Source organism: Homo sapiens, chromosome 12, assembly GCF_000001405.40.
Source record: "Homo sapiens chromosome 12, GRCh38.p14 Primary Assembly".
Taxonomy (NCBI): domain Eukaryota; kingdom Metazoa; phylum Chordata; class Mammalia; order Primates; family Hominidae; genus Homo; species Homo sapiens.
The window spans coordinates 91,274,238-91,291,489 of record NC_000012.12 but is presented as its reverse complement, the minus strand read 5'-3'; the positions used below and the strand labels follow the sequence as shown (position 1 = coordinate 91,291,489).

Genomic DNA, 17,252 nt, shown 5'->3' with positions numbered 1-17,252 from the left:
TTCACTATCACTAATCATTAGGGAAATGCAAATCAAAACCACAATGAGATACCATGTCTCACCAGTCAGAATGGCTGTTATTAAAAAGTCAAAAAATAACAGATGCTGGTGAGGTGGTGTAGGAAAAGGAAAATGTATACACTGCCGGTGGGAATGCAAACTAGTTTAGCTGCTGTGGAATGCAGTCTGGAGATTTCTCAAAGGACTTAAAATAGAACTGCCATTCAACCCAGCAATTCTCTTACTGGGTATATACTCAAAGGAATATAAATCGTTCTACGATAAAGACACATTCACAAGTATCTTCACTGAAACACTATTCACAATAGCAAAGACATGGAATTGACCTAGATGCCCATTAATGGTGGACTGGATAAAGAAAATGTGGTATATATACACCATGGAATATGACGTGGGTATTAAAAAAACGAGATTATGACCTTTGCAGCAACATGGATGGAGCTGGAGGCCATAATCCAAAGTGAATTAATACAGGAACAGAAAACCAAATAGTGCATGTTCTTACTTATAAGTGGGAGCTAAACAGTGAGTACACAGGGACACAAAGAAGGGTACAATAGAAACTGGGGCCTATTTGAAGGTGGAGGGTGGAAGGAGGGTTAGGATTTAAAAACTACATATTGGGTATTATGCCGACTACCTGGGTGACAAAATTATATGTACATCAAACACCCATGACATAAAATTTATCCACCTAACAAACCTGTACATGTACCCCTTTAACCTAAAATAAAAGTTGGAAAGAAAAAATAGAAAGGAAATAATAATACTGCTTTCAGAAAGAGAAAAATGGGTGATCTCAGAGCCTGTATTCTACTTGAATTCCCAGAGGAAAGCAGCTGATCCAGTAAGCATAGGATTTAGGTTGTCAAGGTGAGCCCAGGGTACAGAAATCTTATGGTGACAGAGTACACTGAAGTGGAATGTGTATTTGAAAGTTCAAACAGGCTGCTTTTAACTTGGAGGTAGGGCCACTCTTTTACAGAGCATCTAATGTTTTCCAGGACCCCAAGCAATATTCAACATTTATCTTGGGTTAAATCTAGAATTTTTGTAATTCAATAAAAGGACTGTCTCTTAAAGAATCAAGCCAGCAAATAGTACTATGGAAACTGGAATGCACCAAGAGAAAAGTGTGCCTTTGGGTGCTGGCAAAGTATAAAGAACCTAGATTAAATATTTAAGTAAACAAAAGTAGAGCAATGAACTACAGCAAATTAGCGGATAAAAGTGTTGTAAGTGGAAAGGATTTACCAGAATTCCCTTTTAAACATGGGCTGCAGAGCCATCTTAACATGTCTTAAATAGTTGTAGGATGTAAATACCTATTATAATAAAAGAAAAGCTGGCATGGTTAGATCGGTTTCAAGGGAAGTTAATGAAGTCGACAGGAAACAACTGGTATCAGGAGCTCTAAATCAGTGAAGCTGAAAGAATGAGGTTACATGGAAAAGAAAGAAAAGTGCCATCTATTTGATCCATGAAGTAAACATTTTTCTTGTTAAATAGTCTTAGTTTTAAGAAATGTAAACACTTGCTCATTGTAACAAATGAAGAGGAAGAAAACAAGTTTTAAAAAATATCTCCAGCTGACTCCCAGCCTCCTCCACTCCAATATGCCTGAGAATAACAGATTTGTGTCTTTTACAAACTATTATATAGATAAATGGGACTGTGTGGCAATGTTTTTTTACAGAACCAATATACTACCATGGTTTCTTTTTGCAATTTTTTATTCTCATTTTGTAATGTATTATGGACAGCCTTTCAGATGAATAGACAAAAAATATTCCATTAATAATGGACTCTCAGATTGTTCCCAATTCTTGTCATTATAAGCAATGGTGCAAACAAACAAAAATCTTGTATGTGTATTTTTATATATAGTGCTGTCATTTCAGTACAGTCAAATAAAAGGCTTATGGAACTTTAATTATACTAGATAATGCCAGATTATTTTAAAATAAGTTTTAGCTATACATTCTCCCATGACCAATGTGGTTAAAAAAAGTTTCTCATGTAACTAGATCTGAATATTATAGGTATTTTATAAAATTTTCCAAATATGAATAATAAAATATGTTTCTGTTGTTTTAACTTGCTTTTTCCTGAGTTTTGTGACTTTGGAGTGTGGGTGACAGCTTTTAAATAAACGTTTCTATCCATTTTATTGTTTCTCTTTTGAATTGCTGATTCATCTTTTTGGCCACTTTTTATGAATGTTTTTTCCTTTTTAGTTGTTTTTCATCATTTGTAGGATGCCTTTATATATTCTGAAACTTAGGTCATCTCTCAACATATTTGGACTTTGTTTTATAGTTCATTTCATATAGGCAGTTTACCTGTGTTACCAATTTTGTCACTAGATGTTTGTAATTTTTTTTGCAGGTAGAATATTTTCTTTTTAATTTAGCAGTAGAGTACCCCTAAAGAAGTGTTAGAAAATGTAAATATACACCTCAATGAATTAGCACCAAATATACACCCAAGTAACCACTTTTTAGTTTAGAAAATTGACCATTGCCAGCACTGTAAAAAGCCGCCCGCCACCAAAAACCCATGCCACCTCCAACCTCTCCATCCTTCCCCAAAGTAGCCACTTTCGCAACTTCAAACTCTTTCTCTATATTTGCTTTTTATGTATTTTTTTCTTTTGTTAAACAACTTATAGAATGAATAATAAAATGTTTATTATTTGTGTTTAGCTGCCTGGGTCAACATTGTGTGTTTAAATTCATGTATTGCATGAATCTAGTAGCTTTGGGTTGGACTTCCTATGAATAGAAGTGGGGAAAGCAGGCATTCTTCCTTGTCTCTGATTTTAAAGGAAAACTTTTCAAACTTTCATCATGTTTGCTGTGGGTTTTTACATATAATTTTTAATATATTGAGGTAGTTTTGTCATATTCCTATTTTGTTGCACGTTTTTATTAGGAGAGCGTGTTAAATTTTGTCAGCTTTCTTTCTTTTTTGCATCAAATGAGATGATAGTTTGTCAGGTTCAAATCAGCCTAGCTGTGCTAATTCTGACCACAGGGCCAGAGGTTTTATAATGACTCCATGGCCAATTAAATGCTTTTGAATTCATGGTTTATTCTGAGGCTGTCAGAAGCCAACAAACATGCAAATTATACATAGGCATTATTGGTATACAACATACATACAAATATATAGGTGTACATACATTATTTAACACACATAGGCAGTAATAAGAGAGAGGGAGAACCAATCACAGGGAGTAGCTTGGAGATGTAGGGAGGCAAGTGCTCAGCAGAACTTCCAGCAGCCACTGCCCATAGAAAAGAGGCTTCACAGTTCTCCCCCCACCAAGAGCTTCTGCAGGCATCTAGGCCGTGGTCAATTTATGTGAAGCTTTTATGACCCTCTGCAGGAATGTCCATAGCCATGATCTCAGTTGCCTTGCTTTCTTGTCAAGCCTTGGGGGTGTCTGTCCACAGCAGATGTTATCTTAGAACCTCAGTCTACCATACATGTGCACATCACTTTGAGGGGTCAGTAATTTCACTTTAGGCTGAGTCACTTATCATAAGTGACTCCATTTTGAGAAATTTGGGATCACAAAACATTATCATATATCAGATGATCATGTGGTTTATTTTCCTTCATTCTGCTGATATGGTGTATTACGTTGACCGGGTGTTTCTAGGAAGTTGTTTATTTTATCTAGGTTATCCAATTTGTTGGCATATAACTGTTAATAGTACTCTCTTATAATCTCTTATATTTCTGAGATTCGTATTTTTTTCCTTAGTTAATCTAGTTAAAGCTTAGCCAATTTTTGTTAACTCTTTTGAAGAGCTGACTTTTGGCTTCATTCATTTTATCCAATGTTTTTCTATTCTCCATTTTATTTATTTCTGCTATAATCTTTATTATTTCCCTCCTTCTGCTAGCTTTGGGTTTAGTTTCTCCTTTTTTTATAGTACCTTAAGTTGTCAACTTAGTTTGTTCATTTGAGATCTTTCTTATTTTTTTTGTTTTCTGTTTTGTCACCCAGGCTGGAGTGTAGTGGAGTGATCTCAGCGCACTGCAACCTCCACCTCCCAGGCTCAAGCAATCCTTTTTATCTCAGCCTCCGAAATAGCTGGGACTACAGGCATGATTACACCACCAGGCCTGGCGAATTTTTTTGTATTTTTGGTAGAGACAGAGTTTTGCCATGTTGTCCATGTTGGTCTCAAACTCCTGAGCTGAAGTGATCCACCTGCCTCTTTATTTTTTAATGTAAATGTTTATAGCTATAAATGTGCTTTTTAGGACTGCTTTTGCTATATCTCATAAATTTTGGTAGTTTTTGTCATTTTATGAAATTAGATGCATCTCTTTTTAAATTAATTTTAAACAATTGACACTTTGCAATTATATTTACTACTGGGGTACAATTTTATGTTTCAATACATATATATGTTGTATAATGATCCATTCAGGGTAATGTACCCATCACCTCATGCATGTGTTACTTCTTTGTGGCAGCAGCATTCAAAAACCTCTCTTCTAGCTATTTTGTAAGATACAATATTCTACTGTTAACCATACTTTTTAATTTCTTTTCTGATTTCTTCTTTGATACACTGGTTATTTAATTTTAAGAGTGCATTTTTCAATTTTTGTGAATTTGTTAATCTTCCAGTTTCTTTGTGTTATTTATTTCTAACTATCTTGTATTTGTAGAACATACTTTGTATGATATCTATCTTTCTAAATCTATTGAGATGTAATTTGTGACCTAATATATGCTGTATCCTGGAAAATTACCCTGTGCAATTGAGAAGAATGTGTATTCTGTTGTTCTTAATTAGTATATTCTATATATATCTGTGAGATCTAGTTGGTTTATTGTGTTATACAAGTCCTCTATTTTCTTACTTGTTTTTTGTCTGGTCATTTTATCCATTATTGAGAGTGAGGCACTGAAGTTTCCAAATATTACTGTAGAACTATTTCCTTCTTTCAGTTCCGTCAATTTTTGCTTTATATATTTTACAGTCTGTTATTAGTGTGTTAATGTTTATAATTGTCTTCTTGCTGTCTTAAATCTCTTATTAATTTATAATGTCCTTTTTATCTCTTATAAGCTATTTTATTTAAAGTCTGTTTTGTCTGATGTTAGTCTAGCCACACTTGCTCTCTTCTGGTTACTATTTGCACAGAATTTTTTTTTCCATACTTTCATTTTAAACCTATTTATGTCTTCGGAAATTAAGCAAAATTAATTGCAGTTTACCAAGCAAGCCTTCCCTTGGATGTTGCAAGCCTTCAATAGACTCTATAATTCCAAAATAATTATATCAGACAGATTCTGCCAGTGTAATTGTTGTCTAGGTGGGGAGGCTGAATTATCATGCTTCCTACTTCACCATCTTCCCAGACTCCTCAAGTCTAATTGAGGTTTTAATGGGAACTTTTTGGTTTACTGATGAGGTTGAGTACCTTTTCATATCTATTTGGTTTGTATGTTAGGTGAGTTTCTTTCTTTCTTTCTTTTTTCCTTTTTGCCATTTAGATATCTTCTTTTTTTTATTATACTTTAAGTTTTAGGGTACATGTGCACATTGTGCAGGTTAGTTACATACGTATACATGTGCCATGCTGGTGTGCTGCACCCACTAACTTGTCATCTAGCATTAGGTATATCTCCCAATGCTATCCCTCCCCCCTCCCCACACTCCACAACAGTCCCCAGAGTGTGATGTTCCCCTTCCTGTGTCCATGTGATCTCATTGTTCAATTCCCACCTATGAGTGAGAATATGCGGTGTTTGGTTTTTTGTTCTTGCGATAGTTTACTGAGAATGATGATTTCCAATTTCATCCATGTCCCTACAAAGGACACGAACTTCTTTTTTGAGGGGACTGCTGAAGTTCATTTGCACTTTTGTCCATTCAATTGTGTTTTCTTACTGATTTCTAGAAATTCTTTGTATATTATAAAAAGAACTCTTTTATTGATTACATATTTTTCAAATCCATTCTCCCACCCCATGGCTTGCCTTTCTATTTTCTGTCTCTTGATGAAAATTAATTCTTAATTTTATGTAGTCAATTTTATCAATTCTTTTAAAAAATAATTACTACGCGTTTTGTGTTCTCTTGGAAGTATCTTTTCTTACTCTAAACTGATGAATTTTCTCCTATAGTACCTTTGAGAAACTTTATTAATTTACTTTCACTTTTAAATCTTCAAACCATCTAGGACTGGTAGTATGGTATTTGTTAGGGATCAAGTGGATACACATTTGACAATTACCCCTTAAAGAAAAGATAGTTGTTTTTCTACTTCTCAGTGTCATCTCGTTATAAACCAAATATCTATAGAAGAATATTTAGTTTTCTGGACTCTCTATTCCATTGGTTTTGTCAGCATGTCGGTCTATCCTTGCAAGAGTATCACATTGTCTTTATTATGAGGCTTTAATACAAACTTTTGATCTAACAGAGTAAATTTTCACACCTTGTTCCACTTTAAGAGTGTCACGACCATTCTTGCCCTTTTTCACGTCCACATATATGTTAGAACTGGCTTTTCAAATCACACATATACACACATTCACATACACACACAAACTCATTGGCATTTTTATTTGAATAACATTGCTTTTATAGATTGGTTTGAGAAAAATCGAAATCTTAAAAATACTGAGTTTTCCAATGTATAAGTATAATTTATCCCTCTATTTATTTTGGTCTTCTTTAGTTTATTTCAATAATGCTATATTTTTCTGTGAAGAAGTCATGATCATCTTTGTTGCATTTTCCTAGATATATTTGATATTTTTGTGTTATTATGACTGATTTTTTTTTTTTGAAACAGGGTTCACCCTGTTGCCCAGGTTGGAGTGCAGTGGCACAATCTAGGCTCACTGAAACCTTTGCCTCCCAGGTTCAAGCAATTCTCCCACCTCAGCCTCCCTAGGACCTGGAATTACGGGTGCACCCCACCATACCTGGCTAGTTTTTTGTATTTTTTGTAGACATGGGGTTTCACCATGTTGGCCAGACTGGTCTCAAATTCCTGACCTGAAGTGATCTACCCTCCTTGGCCTCACAAAGTGCTGGGGTTACAGGCCTGAGCCACCATGCCCAGGCAAATATTTATTTTTAGAAAAAAAAATTCTTATATATTGATCTTGTAACCAACAAACTCCACAAACTATTTGTATATATTATCTATAGATTTTTTAGATTTTGTATACACCAGACAGCATAATACATAAATAAAATCAGTTTTGATTATTTATTTCCAAGAGTTATATATTTGAAAATATTTCTTGTTGAAGTAAACCTGCATATGGTAAAGTCATGAATCATAAGTATACATCTTGATTAATTATCACAAAGAGAGCAATGCAAAAATTAATTCTAGGTGAGAAAAACATGACCTGAACATATGCTGGGCTCGTCTCATTTAATTAACTGACTTATAACCCTGTAGGAAGAATTTTTATAATATTAAATTTAATATAAATGGGATCATAAATGTATTAGTCTGGGTTCTCTAGTGAAATGGAACCAATAGGAGACAGATATATCTATATCTACATATTTATAGCATTCTCTCTCTATGTATATATATATATATATATATATATATATATATACACACACACACACATATATAGACACACAGAAATATCTAGCTGTATCTATATATGGATATATATGTTTATTTATGTATCTGTATATGTGTATATGTGCTACATTTGTTAAACGAATAATAATAAATGTGTAGGTTTATTTCTGTATTCTTCATTCTGTTTCATCTGTTGATTTGTCTATTTTTGCTCTAATATTGCAACTCTTAATTAGAGTAGCTTTATAATAAGACTTACTACATAGTTCATGTTCTCTAACTTGGTTCTTCTTTACAAGCTTGTTTTGGGTGTCTCGGCCCTTTATATTCCATATAAAAGTCATGAAAATTGCTTATCTACCTTAGAAAAGAAAACTGGTTAAGAATTTTATTGGGATTGAATGGGATCTATGAATCAATTTCAGGGACTGACATTATAACAACATTAAGTCTTCTGTATCCCTCTATGTTATTAGGACTTCTTTCATTTCTGTCAGTACTATTTTTTGGTTTCTTTCACAGATGTTGCACTTTTCTAAAGATTTATTTCTTTTTTATACTATTGAAAATCTTATTAATTTTTTTCCATTTGTTTGTTGCTAGACTAAAAAATACAATGGATTTTTTTTACATATTGATGTATCTGGTGACCTTGCCAAATTTTTTTAGTAATTCTGATAGTTTTTCTTTAGATTATTTTGGATTTTCTTTTTTTTTATTATTATTATACTTTAAGTTTTAGGGTACATGTGCACAATGTTGGTGGGACTGTAAACTAGTTCAACCATTGTGGAAGTCAGTGTGGTGATTCCTCAGGGATCTAGAACTAGAAATATTTGACCCAGCCATCCCATTACTGGGTATATACCCAAAGGACTATAAATCATGCTGCTATAAAGACACATGCACACGTATGTTTATTGCAGCACTATTCACAATAGCAAAGACTTGGAACCAACCCAAATGTCCAACAATGATAGACTGTATTAAGAAAATGTGGCACATATACACCATGGAATACTATGCAGCCATAAAAATGATGAGTTCATGTCCTTTGTAGGGACATGGATGAAATTGGAAATCATCATTCTCAGTAAACTATTTTGGATTTTCTACAACATAATCAAGTTCTCCACGAATAATGAACATTTTATTTCTTTATTTCTGGTGACTATCCCTTTTGTTTCACTTACTTGCCCTTTGCATTTGCCAAGATCTCCAAAACAATGTTAAATAATTATTGTCCTTTTGTTCCAATTTCAAAGGAAAAGCTTTCAACATTTCTCCATCAACTAACATAATCACTATCAGAGTAAGAAATTTCCTTCTATTTATAGTTTGCTGAGTTTTAAAATCATAAATCCATGCTGAAATTTTTCATATGTTTTTATTCCATCTATTGACCTGTTGATATTTTTTATTTTCAATGAATTGAATTATTACACATTTTTAAATGTTAACTAATCTTGCAGTGTTTTGAGTATATGTTTTTAATGTATTGCTGAATGCAGTTTGCTGTTTTTGTTGGAGTGGAATTTTGCTTTGACAGTTATGCATAAGATTGGTTTGTACTATCATTTTACTTTAATGACTCTGTTAGGTTTTGCTATTAAGTTTATGCTGGCCTCATGAAAGAAGTTGGGAACCGTTCTTTTCTGTTATTTGATAGAGATGTTCCTTCTCTTTTTCCTTTTTCTTTTGTGGCTGATAGTAGTGTAAGTAACAGGGATTACCTAGTTTATAAAGGCAATTGTTACAGATTGATTTATTTCCTCCCAAATTTTTGTGTTTATTTCATAACCCCCAATGTGAGTGTATTTGAAGAAAGGCTCTTTGGTGAGATAATTAAGATTAAATGAGGTTATGAGGATGGGGTCCTAATCCAATAGGACTGGTGTCCTCCTAAGAAGAGGAAGATACATCAGAGATGTTTCACTACACATGCATAGAGCAGAGGCCATTGAAGACACAGCGAGAAGGTGGCCATGTGCAAGCCAGGAAGGGAGGCTTCTCTAAAATCCAAACTTGATAGGATCTTGGTCTTATCTTTAACAGATAAATTTCTGTTGTTTAAGCTACCTAATTTGTGGTCCTGTGCTATGGAAGCCTGAGCAGACTAATATAGTTATTAAGAAATAAGATGTAGGCTGGGGGCAGTGGCTTATGCCTGTAATCCCAGCACTTTGGGAGGCCGAGGCGGGCAGATCACGAGGTCAGGAGATCGAGACCATCCTGGCTAACACAGTGAAACCCCATCTCTACTAAAAATACAAAAAAAAAAATTAGCCGGGCACGGTGGCGGGCGACGGTAGTCCCAGCTACTCTGGAGGTTGAGGCAGGAGAATGGTGTGAACCCGGGAGGTGGAGCTTGCAGTGAGCCGAGATGGTGCCACTGCACTCCTGCACTCCAGCCTGGGAGACAGAGTGAGACTCCATCTGAAAAAAAAAAAAAAAAAAGAAAGAAATAAGATGTAAAACCAACTGGACCAACAGGTGACTCTTTCAAAAAAAGTTGTTTTTTAATTCCTTCTTTGGCCTCTTCTATGGTCATTGATTTATTCAAGTTTTTTTCTACCTGAATTAAAAATAGTATATTACATTTTTAGGAAATCAGCTACTTTCTCCAAATCTTAAAATTTATTTTTAATGTAGTATAAACTTAAAATCTCATTTTTAAGTTTGTAAATTAATTTCTCCATTGATCATTAAATGGATGGAACTAGTGAAATATTAAGTTAGATAGCTTGATCATTTTGCTACCCTACGTCTTGTTTTAAATAGTCTGTTTATTTAAAAACTTTTTGTTTACTTTTCATTTATTTTGTTTTCTCTCTTAGTACTCAAATGCAGTCAGCCACATCTCTTTTCTTTTCTCAATTCAAAAGGATCAATAGTAGAAAATATATGATATCAAACCTTGTATCTAGCTCAAAGTGGCAATTCACCCACAATCACACATATCTACCTACCCCCAGCCTGATCCTCCTCTTCTCTTCCTTTTCTACGGATAGGCATGTTGAGTTTGAAGTGTTTGTGTAAAATTATAATAGAGATCTACCATATGCAGTGAGATTTGAGACTGAAATTCAGAAAAGTTGTCTGGAATGGAGCTACAAGTAAAAGAAGCATGATTCTGGATAAGATAGCATGGGAATATTGTATAGAGTGAGAAGAGGAGAGGGCCTAGGATTCAACCATGACTAGTTGCAACATTTAAAGTCTAAGCAGAAAAGTGCAAGCCAAATTGGCAAAAAAAGACAAGGAAAATGTGGCCACAGAGGTGGCAAGAGAATCTAGTGTCATGAAAGTCAACAGAATAGAGTGTTCTGGAAAGAGGCAATTTAATGATGCTGCATAGTCAAGAGTAGAAAATGTCCAGTAGTTTGAGTGTTATTAAGGTTTTTGAAACCATATTAAAAATGATTTCAGTGACATAAACGAATGGAAACCATAATGAAGAGGATGAATAAGAGGAGAGGAAATTTGAAAAGTACTTTAACGTCCTCCCGTTGCTCTTAGCATAAAACCCAAAATTCCTTATCTAATTTGCAACACACCCTCTGACCTGTTCCTTCTTTCTTCTCTGGCTCATCTCATGGCATTTCCCTACTTTGAACTCCAAGTAACACTGTGTTTATTTCAGTTCTCTGAATATGCCAGTCTTGTCCACCAGACTGTAAGTTTTATGAGGGATGGAATCAGGTCTGTCTTGCTGAATAAACTTCCTCAGTATCTAGCAGAGTGGCTTACATGAGGTAGATGTCCAATAATGATTTCTTGAATCTATTAATAACACTTCTTGTGCTTAAATGAAATATAGGAGTGAGGGGAAGAAGACATAAGGGGAAAAAAGGAAGAGCCAAAAAGCAGAGGAGAGAACAAGAAGAGAAACAAAAGGCGGGGTAGAAAAAGAAAACATAAAAACAAATACAGAGGTCAACAATTACCAGATTTCCTAGATAAAATCCAAAGTCTTTAATTATCTGTAGCTTACACATGCATGAACATGCTTTACCATGATTACACATGATTTGCCTCTTGACTAAGAGGTACACATGATTTACCCTTTGACTAAGTTTGTAGTTCTCGTCTGGCCATTGGTCCACATCCACTCCAACACATTCTTGCACTATAGCCTACACTCGAGCCCTGGAAAACTGTATGCATTAATTGCATAGGAAATAATCTGTATTATTTGTTATATTATCTCTGACTACTAGGCTTTTAAAATGCTATTCCTTTTGCCTGGATCTTTCCTCCCTTCCCAAAGTTCAAACAAGTGATTGAACTGTTTTCTACTAAACCATGTATCTCAGCTTAGATCTTACATTCTTCTGAAAGTGTTTTTTCATAGTACTCCAATGAAGATTAGCATTATGGCAGTATATAAATAACATTGTTTTTGGTACATAGTGTAAACTAATTAAAAATAAATATTATTATTGGTGTAGTGGTTATCTTTATATAATACTTAGAGTGATTGAGGGAAATATGTTTTGCTTTTGCCAAAAATTTATTATTGAGCTATGAAGGGGATTCTAGAGTATTAACCAAGTTCTTATTAGTTTTAAGCCACATCTGACTCACAGTCAAGGTATACAAGCAGTAATTAAGAAATTTGACATGAAAGTTTTTTTTTTTTTTTTGGCTAACTTTGCTGTTTTCTTTTTAAACATTTTGGCCAACAGTTGTCACAGCAAGGATTTGTTATTTATTGAAAGTTTGCAATGATTAACAGGCCCTGTAGTGATGCACATATCCTGAGTGCTCCGAAAGAGAGAAAAGGTACTTGTGTGCTCTTTTGAGAATATGTAGATGTAGTGGGGCAGTGGATTACATGGACAGTGATGGTTTGATTATAGTGAGTATCTTCATGTAGGAATCCATGCTTTTGTTTATTTGAGAAGACAGCTTCAAAGCAAAATCCTATTTTACGGACTTCAACAAGAAATATAGTCTTAGGAACAATGGGGTATATGCTTGGTTTTCTTCTGAAATAATCAGTCTTATTTTCTTTAAGAAGACAATACATGATATGGAAAAGAATAATCAGTCTTACTTTCTTTAAGAAGACAATACTTGTTTGTGGAAACAAACAAAAAAACTGACAGAATTTTAGCTATTTTATAAACGATAAATTGGCAAAAATGCTGAAATAATTTTATATATCTGACACAATTGAAGTACCACTTTACTTAAAATCTGAGATCAGGATTTACATGGTGAAGGGCAAAAACCATGTTCAATTGAATCTGAGTAAAAAATATCTTAGTCACTCACATGTCTAGGTTGGAATTATTTCTATAATTATCACACCTTTAGACCAATTTTTAAATATGGAATTATTTAAACCATGAAAATATATCATACCACACTTTTCAAAAAAGGGGAAATAATTTATTCATCAGATATCTACTATATGTCTACTATGTGGCATATATATGTTGTATATTTCAGTTACTAAGGATACAGCAGTGAACAAAACAGACAAATATCTCTGCCTTTCTGCAGTTCAAGTCTAATATGGGTGGAGAAATGAATAATATGCAAATAAATCATATGTCAGAGAGTCTTGAATGGTATAAAAACAATGTAACTAAGTAGGGCAGGAGAAGTGGGTGGAAGAGTTGCTGTTTGAAAAAGAATGTGAGGAAAGCTTGAATGAGTTAGATGAGAATTGAAGTGGTAAGACTGTGGCCATCAGATATGAGGAGGAAGAGCATTTCTAAGGGCAGAACAGAGCAAGTACAAAGACCCAGAGATGAGGTTGTGCTTAATGTGTTTGGGAAATTGCAAGGAAGCTAGTGTGAGTATGATGATAATAAGGGTCTGAGATAGTGTGAAGGGCAACGTGAATGGAGGAGTGCATGTCAGGGAAGAAAGAGGTCAGAAAATTGGAAAGGGTATGGATGTGGATATTGAAATCATATTTATAGGGTATATGTCATATTTTGATACATGCACAGAATGTATAATGATCAAGTCAGGGTATTTAGGATATCCATCACCTTAAGCGTTTATCATTTCTTTGTGTTGGGAACACTTTAAATCCTTTCTTCCAACTATGTTGAAATATACAATATGTTGCCGGGCGCTGTGGCTCACGCCTGTAATCCCAGCACTTTGGGAGGCCGAGGCGGGTGGATCATGAGGTCAGGAGATCGAGACCATTCTGGCTAACACGGTGAAACCCTGTCTCTACTAAAAATACAAAAAAATAGCCGGACGTGGTGGCAGGCGCCTGTAGTCCTAGCTACTCAGGAGGCTGAGGCAGGAGAATGGCGTGAACCTGGGAGGAGGAGCTTGCAGCGAGCTGAGATCACGCCACTGCACCCCAGCCTGGGCGACAGAGCGAGACTCCATCTCAAAAAAAAAAAAAAATGTGTATTTATACACACACACACACACACACACACACCCACACACCCACACACACACACAATATGTTGTTGCTAACTCTTGTCACCCTACTGTGCTATTGAATATCAGAAATCCTTACATCTGACTGTATGTTTATATTTTGATAAAATGACATTCAAAGGAAGGTATTTTCATGGAGGAGAAAGGGAATATAGCCTGAAATGAGCAGCTTCTAGAAGAGCAGAGAGGACAACTGGCTGGAGCGATGGGGGAGAGAAAAAAGCCTGGTCTAGGGTTTTGAGGGATGTGGGAGAAACAGTTACCACTTGAGAAGGCTGCAGAGGAAGCAGTGTTCTCAGAGGTGAGACTCAATTCAACTAAAGCAATAAAATAAATGCAGAGTCAAAGTTAAAGGTAGGGGATTTTGTGGATGACTGACAGTTAATCAGTTACAAAATACTCAGTGATTTGTCAGCTTCAAAAAGTGTTTTTGTGATTTGGCCTTTAAGATTTAATTTTAAAACCATACCTGCTAATCACTTATCTTATTTGTTCAGATTTAGAGGTGGAGACACAATCAATGCCAAGTTTTTGTAACTAGTCTAAATGTGAAATACACAGAGCTCTGGCCTTGCTCCAATTATGGGAATAATTATAAATATCATTTTAACTTCATTTTTCAGAACGGGGCCATAGCAGGCATAAAAGCAACAATTTATCAAACTGCCTGAGGGAATGATGTAAAAAATGCTCATCAAGAATATCCATCTGGACAGGACAAAAAATGACGCTGAGAGGACTTTGGAGAGTTTCTACCCAGTTTTCCTAAATTCCAGGAAGTTTTCTTAGTAGAAATGATGATGACTGAAAGCTACTTCATTTCTGGGATACTTGAGACTTCTGGTCTGCATATGTGACTGTAGGAAGAAATAAATAATTTATGTTTTGGAAAAACCCTAATTACCTAAAGATGACTCTCATGGAGTAAAAGGGAAATGGGCATTTGTCTTGTTTTCCCAAACTCTTTCAGTACTCAGTGAATAAAAATTAAGGTAACAACATGAATTCAGAAGGGCTTCTTATTTGAGCTCTCTTACCTGTGCAGACTTATATTATTGTGTGTGTGACAGGCATTTTCCTTATTTTATTTTATACAATGTGTGTGAATAAATTTTTATACAACTTCTTTTATTAAAGGCAGAGAATGCTTCAGCTTACCTTTGTATTATCTACATTTTGGAAACAGAATGAATATTCAAATGTTGAATTAGCTCGAATAAATGAATAGTTCTTATTTTCCAAGTTTTCCATTTTTAAATACATGTGATTACCAGTACCAAGAAAAGTTTCAGAAGGTAAAAAGGAAAAATAATAACTATTTTTCTGGTTTGTCTTTGTCTTTCATTGTCACATATTTTACTTCTTAGTCTTGCTTGATAGCAGTCATGCAAAAAAGAACAATCCAACTTCGAAAATCAGGCAGTTAATGTTTTTACGGATATGATAAATACACCGATGACTCTTCCACAAAGAAAATGTCAATCTTCAAATGTAATACACATAAAACCTAGCTTTCTTAGCGTTTAGTGCCAATATCACTTTCAAACAAGCAACAGCCTGTTACCCAAGGAATTAAAAGTAATTTGCATCTTTAATGAAGCCTCTCTTGAAATTACCACAGGGTAAAATAAAGAATATATTCTTAACACATAGAAAAACTTCTAATACATAACTTTTCCTTATATGTTTTAGTTTTACCTATCTCCCACAAATAAGTGACTATCCCAAATCTCTCTCCTCTTCCTTTCTAAACTACTCCAAACTCTCTTTTGACCTTTGGTTATGATGATCTTACAAATTTTTTTTCCCATTGCCATTATTCTATCCCCTGACCTGCTGTGACATCCATTTACATAAAATTGTCCAGAAATCTGTTGGTGAGACCAAACCTTCTTTAGCTGAAATGGGGAAACGATGGGCTGTGAAAACTCAAGCTTTAATATTTTAGCCCTGGCCAAATAAGTTATAGTAGGGGTTCAGCAGAAGTGAGTGAGAAAGAAAAATCTTTATTTGATCTTCAGGATTTCCAACTAAAAACACCAGTTAGAAAAATATTTACATTAAGCCTCCAAAGTAAAAAGATTTTGCTGGGTCTTTGCTTTAGTTTAGATTTGAAATAGAAATGAAAACTTCTCATGGCTCTCATTCCATATATGGATTAATTTCTTATCCAAATATTCTTTTGCTTTTGCTCAGTAGCTCTTGGGGATTTTCTCACTGTCATGCCCATGAAAGAAAGAAGGGCACTCAAGGAGAAGATTCTAACACTGAACTGCGTGGAAGGTTGAGAAAAAAGGGAACTACCATTTTCCAGAAGCCTTTTAAAGGGAAACAGAACACAAATCCTCTAATTAGCAAGAGCAGACTCAAGACAAGCAGGCAGCCTTCTGTTTACCTCAGGACTAGGAAGGAGACCAGCTGGCATTCTCTCAAAGATAGCAAATGCTATTTATTGCTGTGTGAAAGAACCTTGCCAGATTAAGTGTATTTGAAGAAAAAAAAAATAAAGTTTACATGAGTGTTTTTTAAACCCCTGAAGAAAATGAGTTTGGTATAAGAAGATTCTCTGGAAGCCAAGTTAACTCTGCAGTGTTCTTTTCTTCTTCATCTGCAAATTGAAAATAATACTATTTGGCCTACGCAGTCTCTCGGATTTGTTGGGAGGATCATAAAAAATAATATTTGTGAAAGCATGTGAAGAAATAAGCTATAACTTTCCATTTATACTGTACAAATGTAAAACAGTTTTATATATTTTGATTATTATCATGACTATCATAAGGCCAATGTACAAACCTGGCTTTTTTGAAATAAAATTAATAGAAAAGGATTGGACTATTGGGCCTCCCTGGAACATGTGAAGCAATTTAGAAAAAATTAAGTATTAAATAATCATTTAAAAATCACTTGGATGCAGTATCAGCTTTGAAGCTTCTAGGCTACAGTGTACCTTTATATGTATTATTATAGTGTTTTCTTTAGTATTGTGTGATAAAAGAGGCAAACTTCTATGAAAAATTCAGAAACTAATAAGATGTACATAATATGAAAAGAAAAAAAGAAAGGGAAATCGTCAAAACTGGTTCCACAGCAGAATATTTTAATAATGCAAATTATAGCAAAATGCAAGCTGAGAAATCACCAAAATAATAAAGCGATTTATAGACTTAAAAACTACCTTTTCTATTGAATTAGAGCACAAAGAAAAATCATTTTAATCT

At 34.5% G+C, this 17,252-nt stretch overlaps 1 long non-coding RNA gene across 1 annotated transcript in view; it reads left to right on the top strand.

Moving 5' to 3' along the window:
• LOC105369896 (uncharacterized) overlaps positions 1-15,265 on the top strand; it is a 361,170-nt gene extending 345,905 nt beyond the window's left edge. The window contains exon 9 of the long non-coding RNA XR_001749251.2: positions 14,655-15,265. This is a non-coding gene — a long non-coding RNA (uncharacterized LOC105369896). The remainder of the gene's footprint in view (positions 1-14,654) is intronic.
• The last annotated feature ends 1,987 nt before the right edge of the window (positions 15,266-17,252 follow it).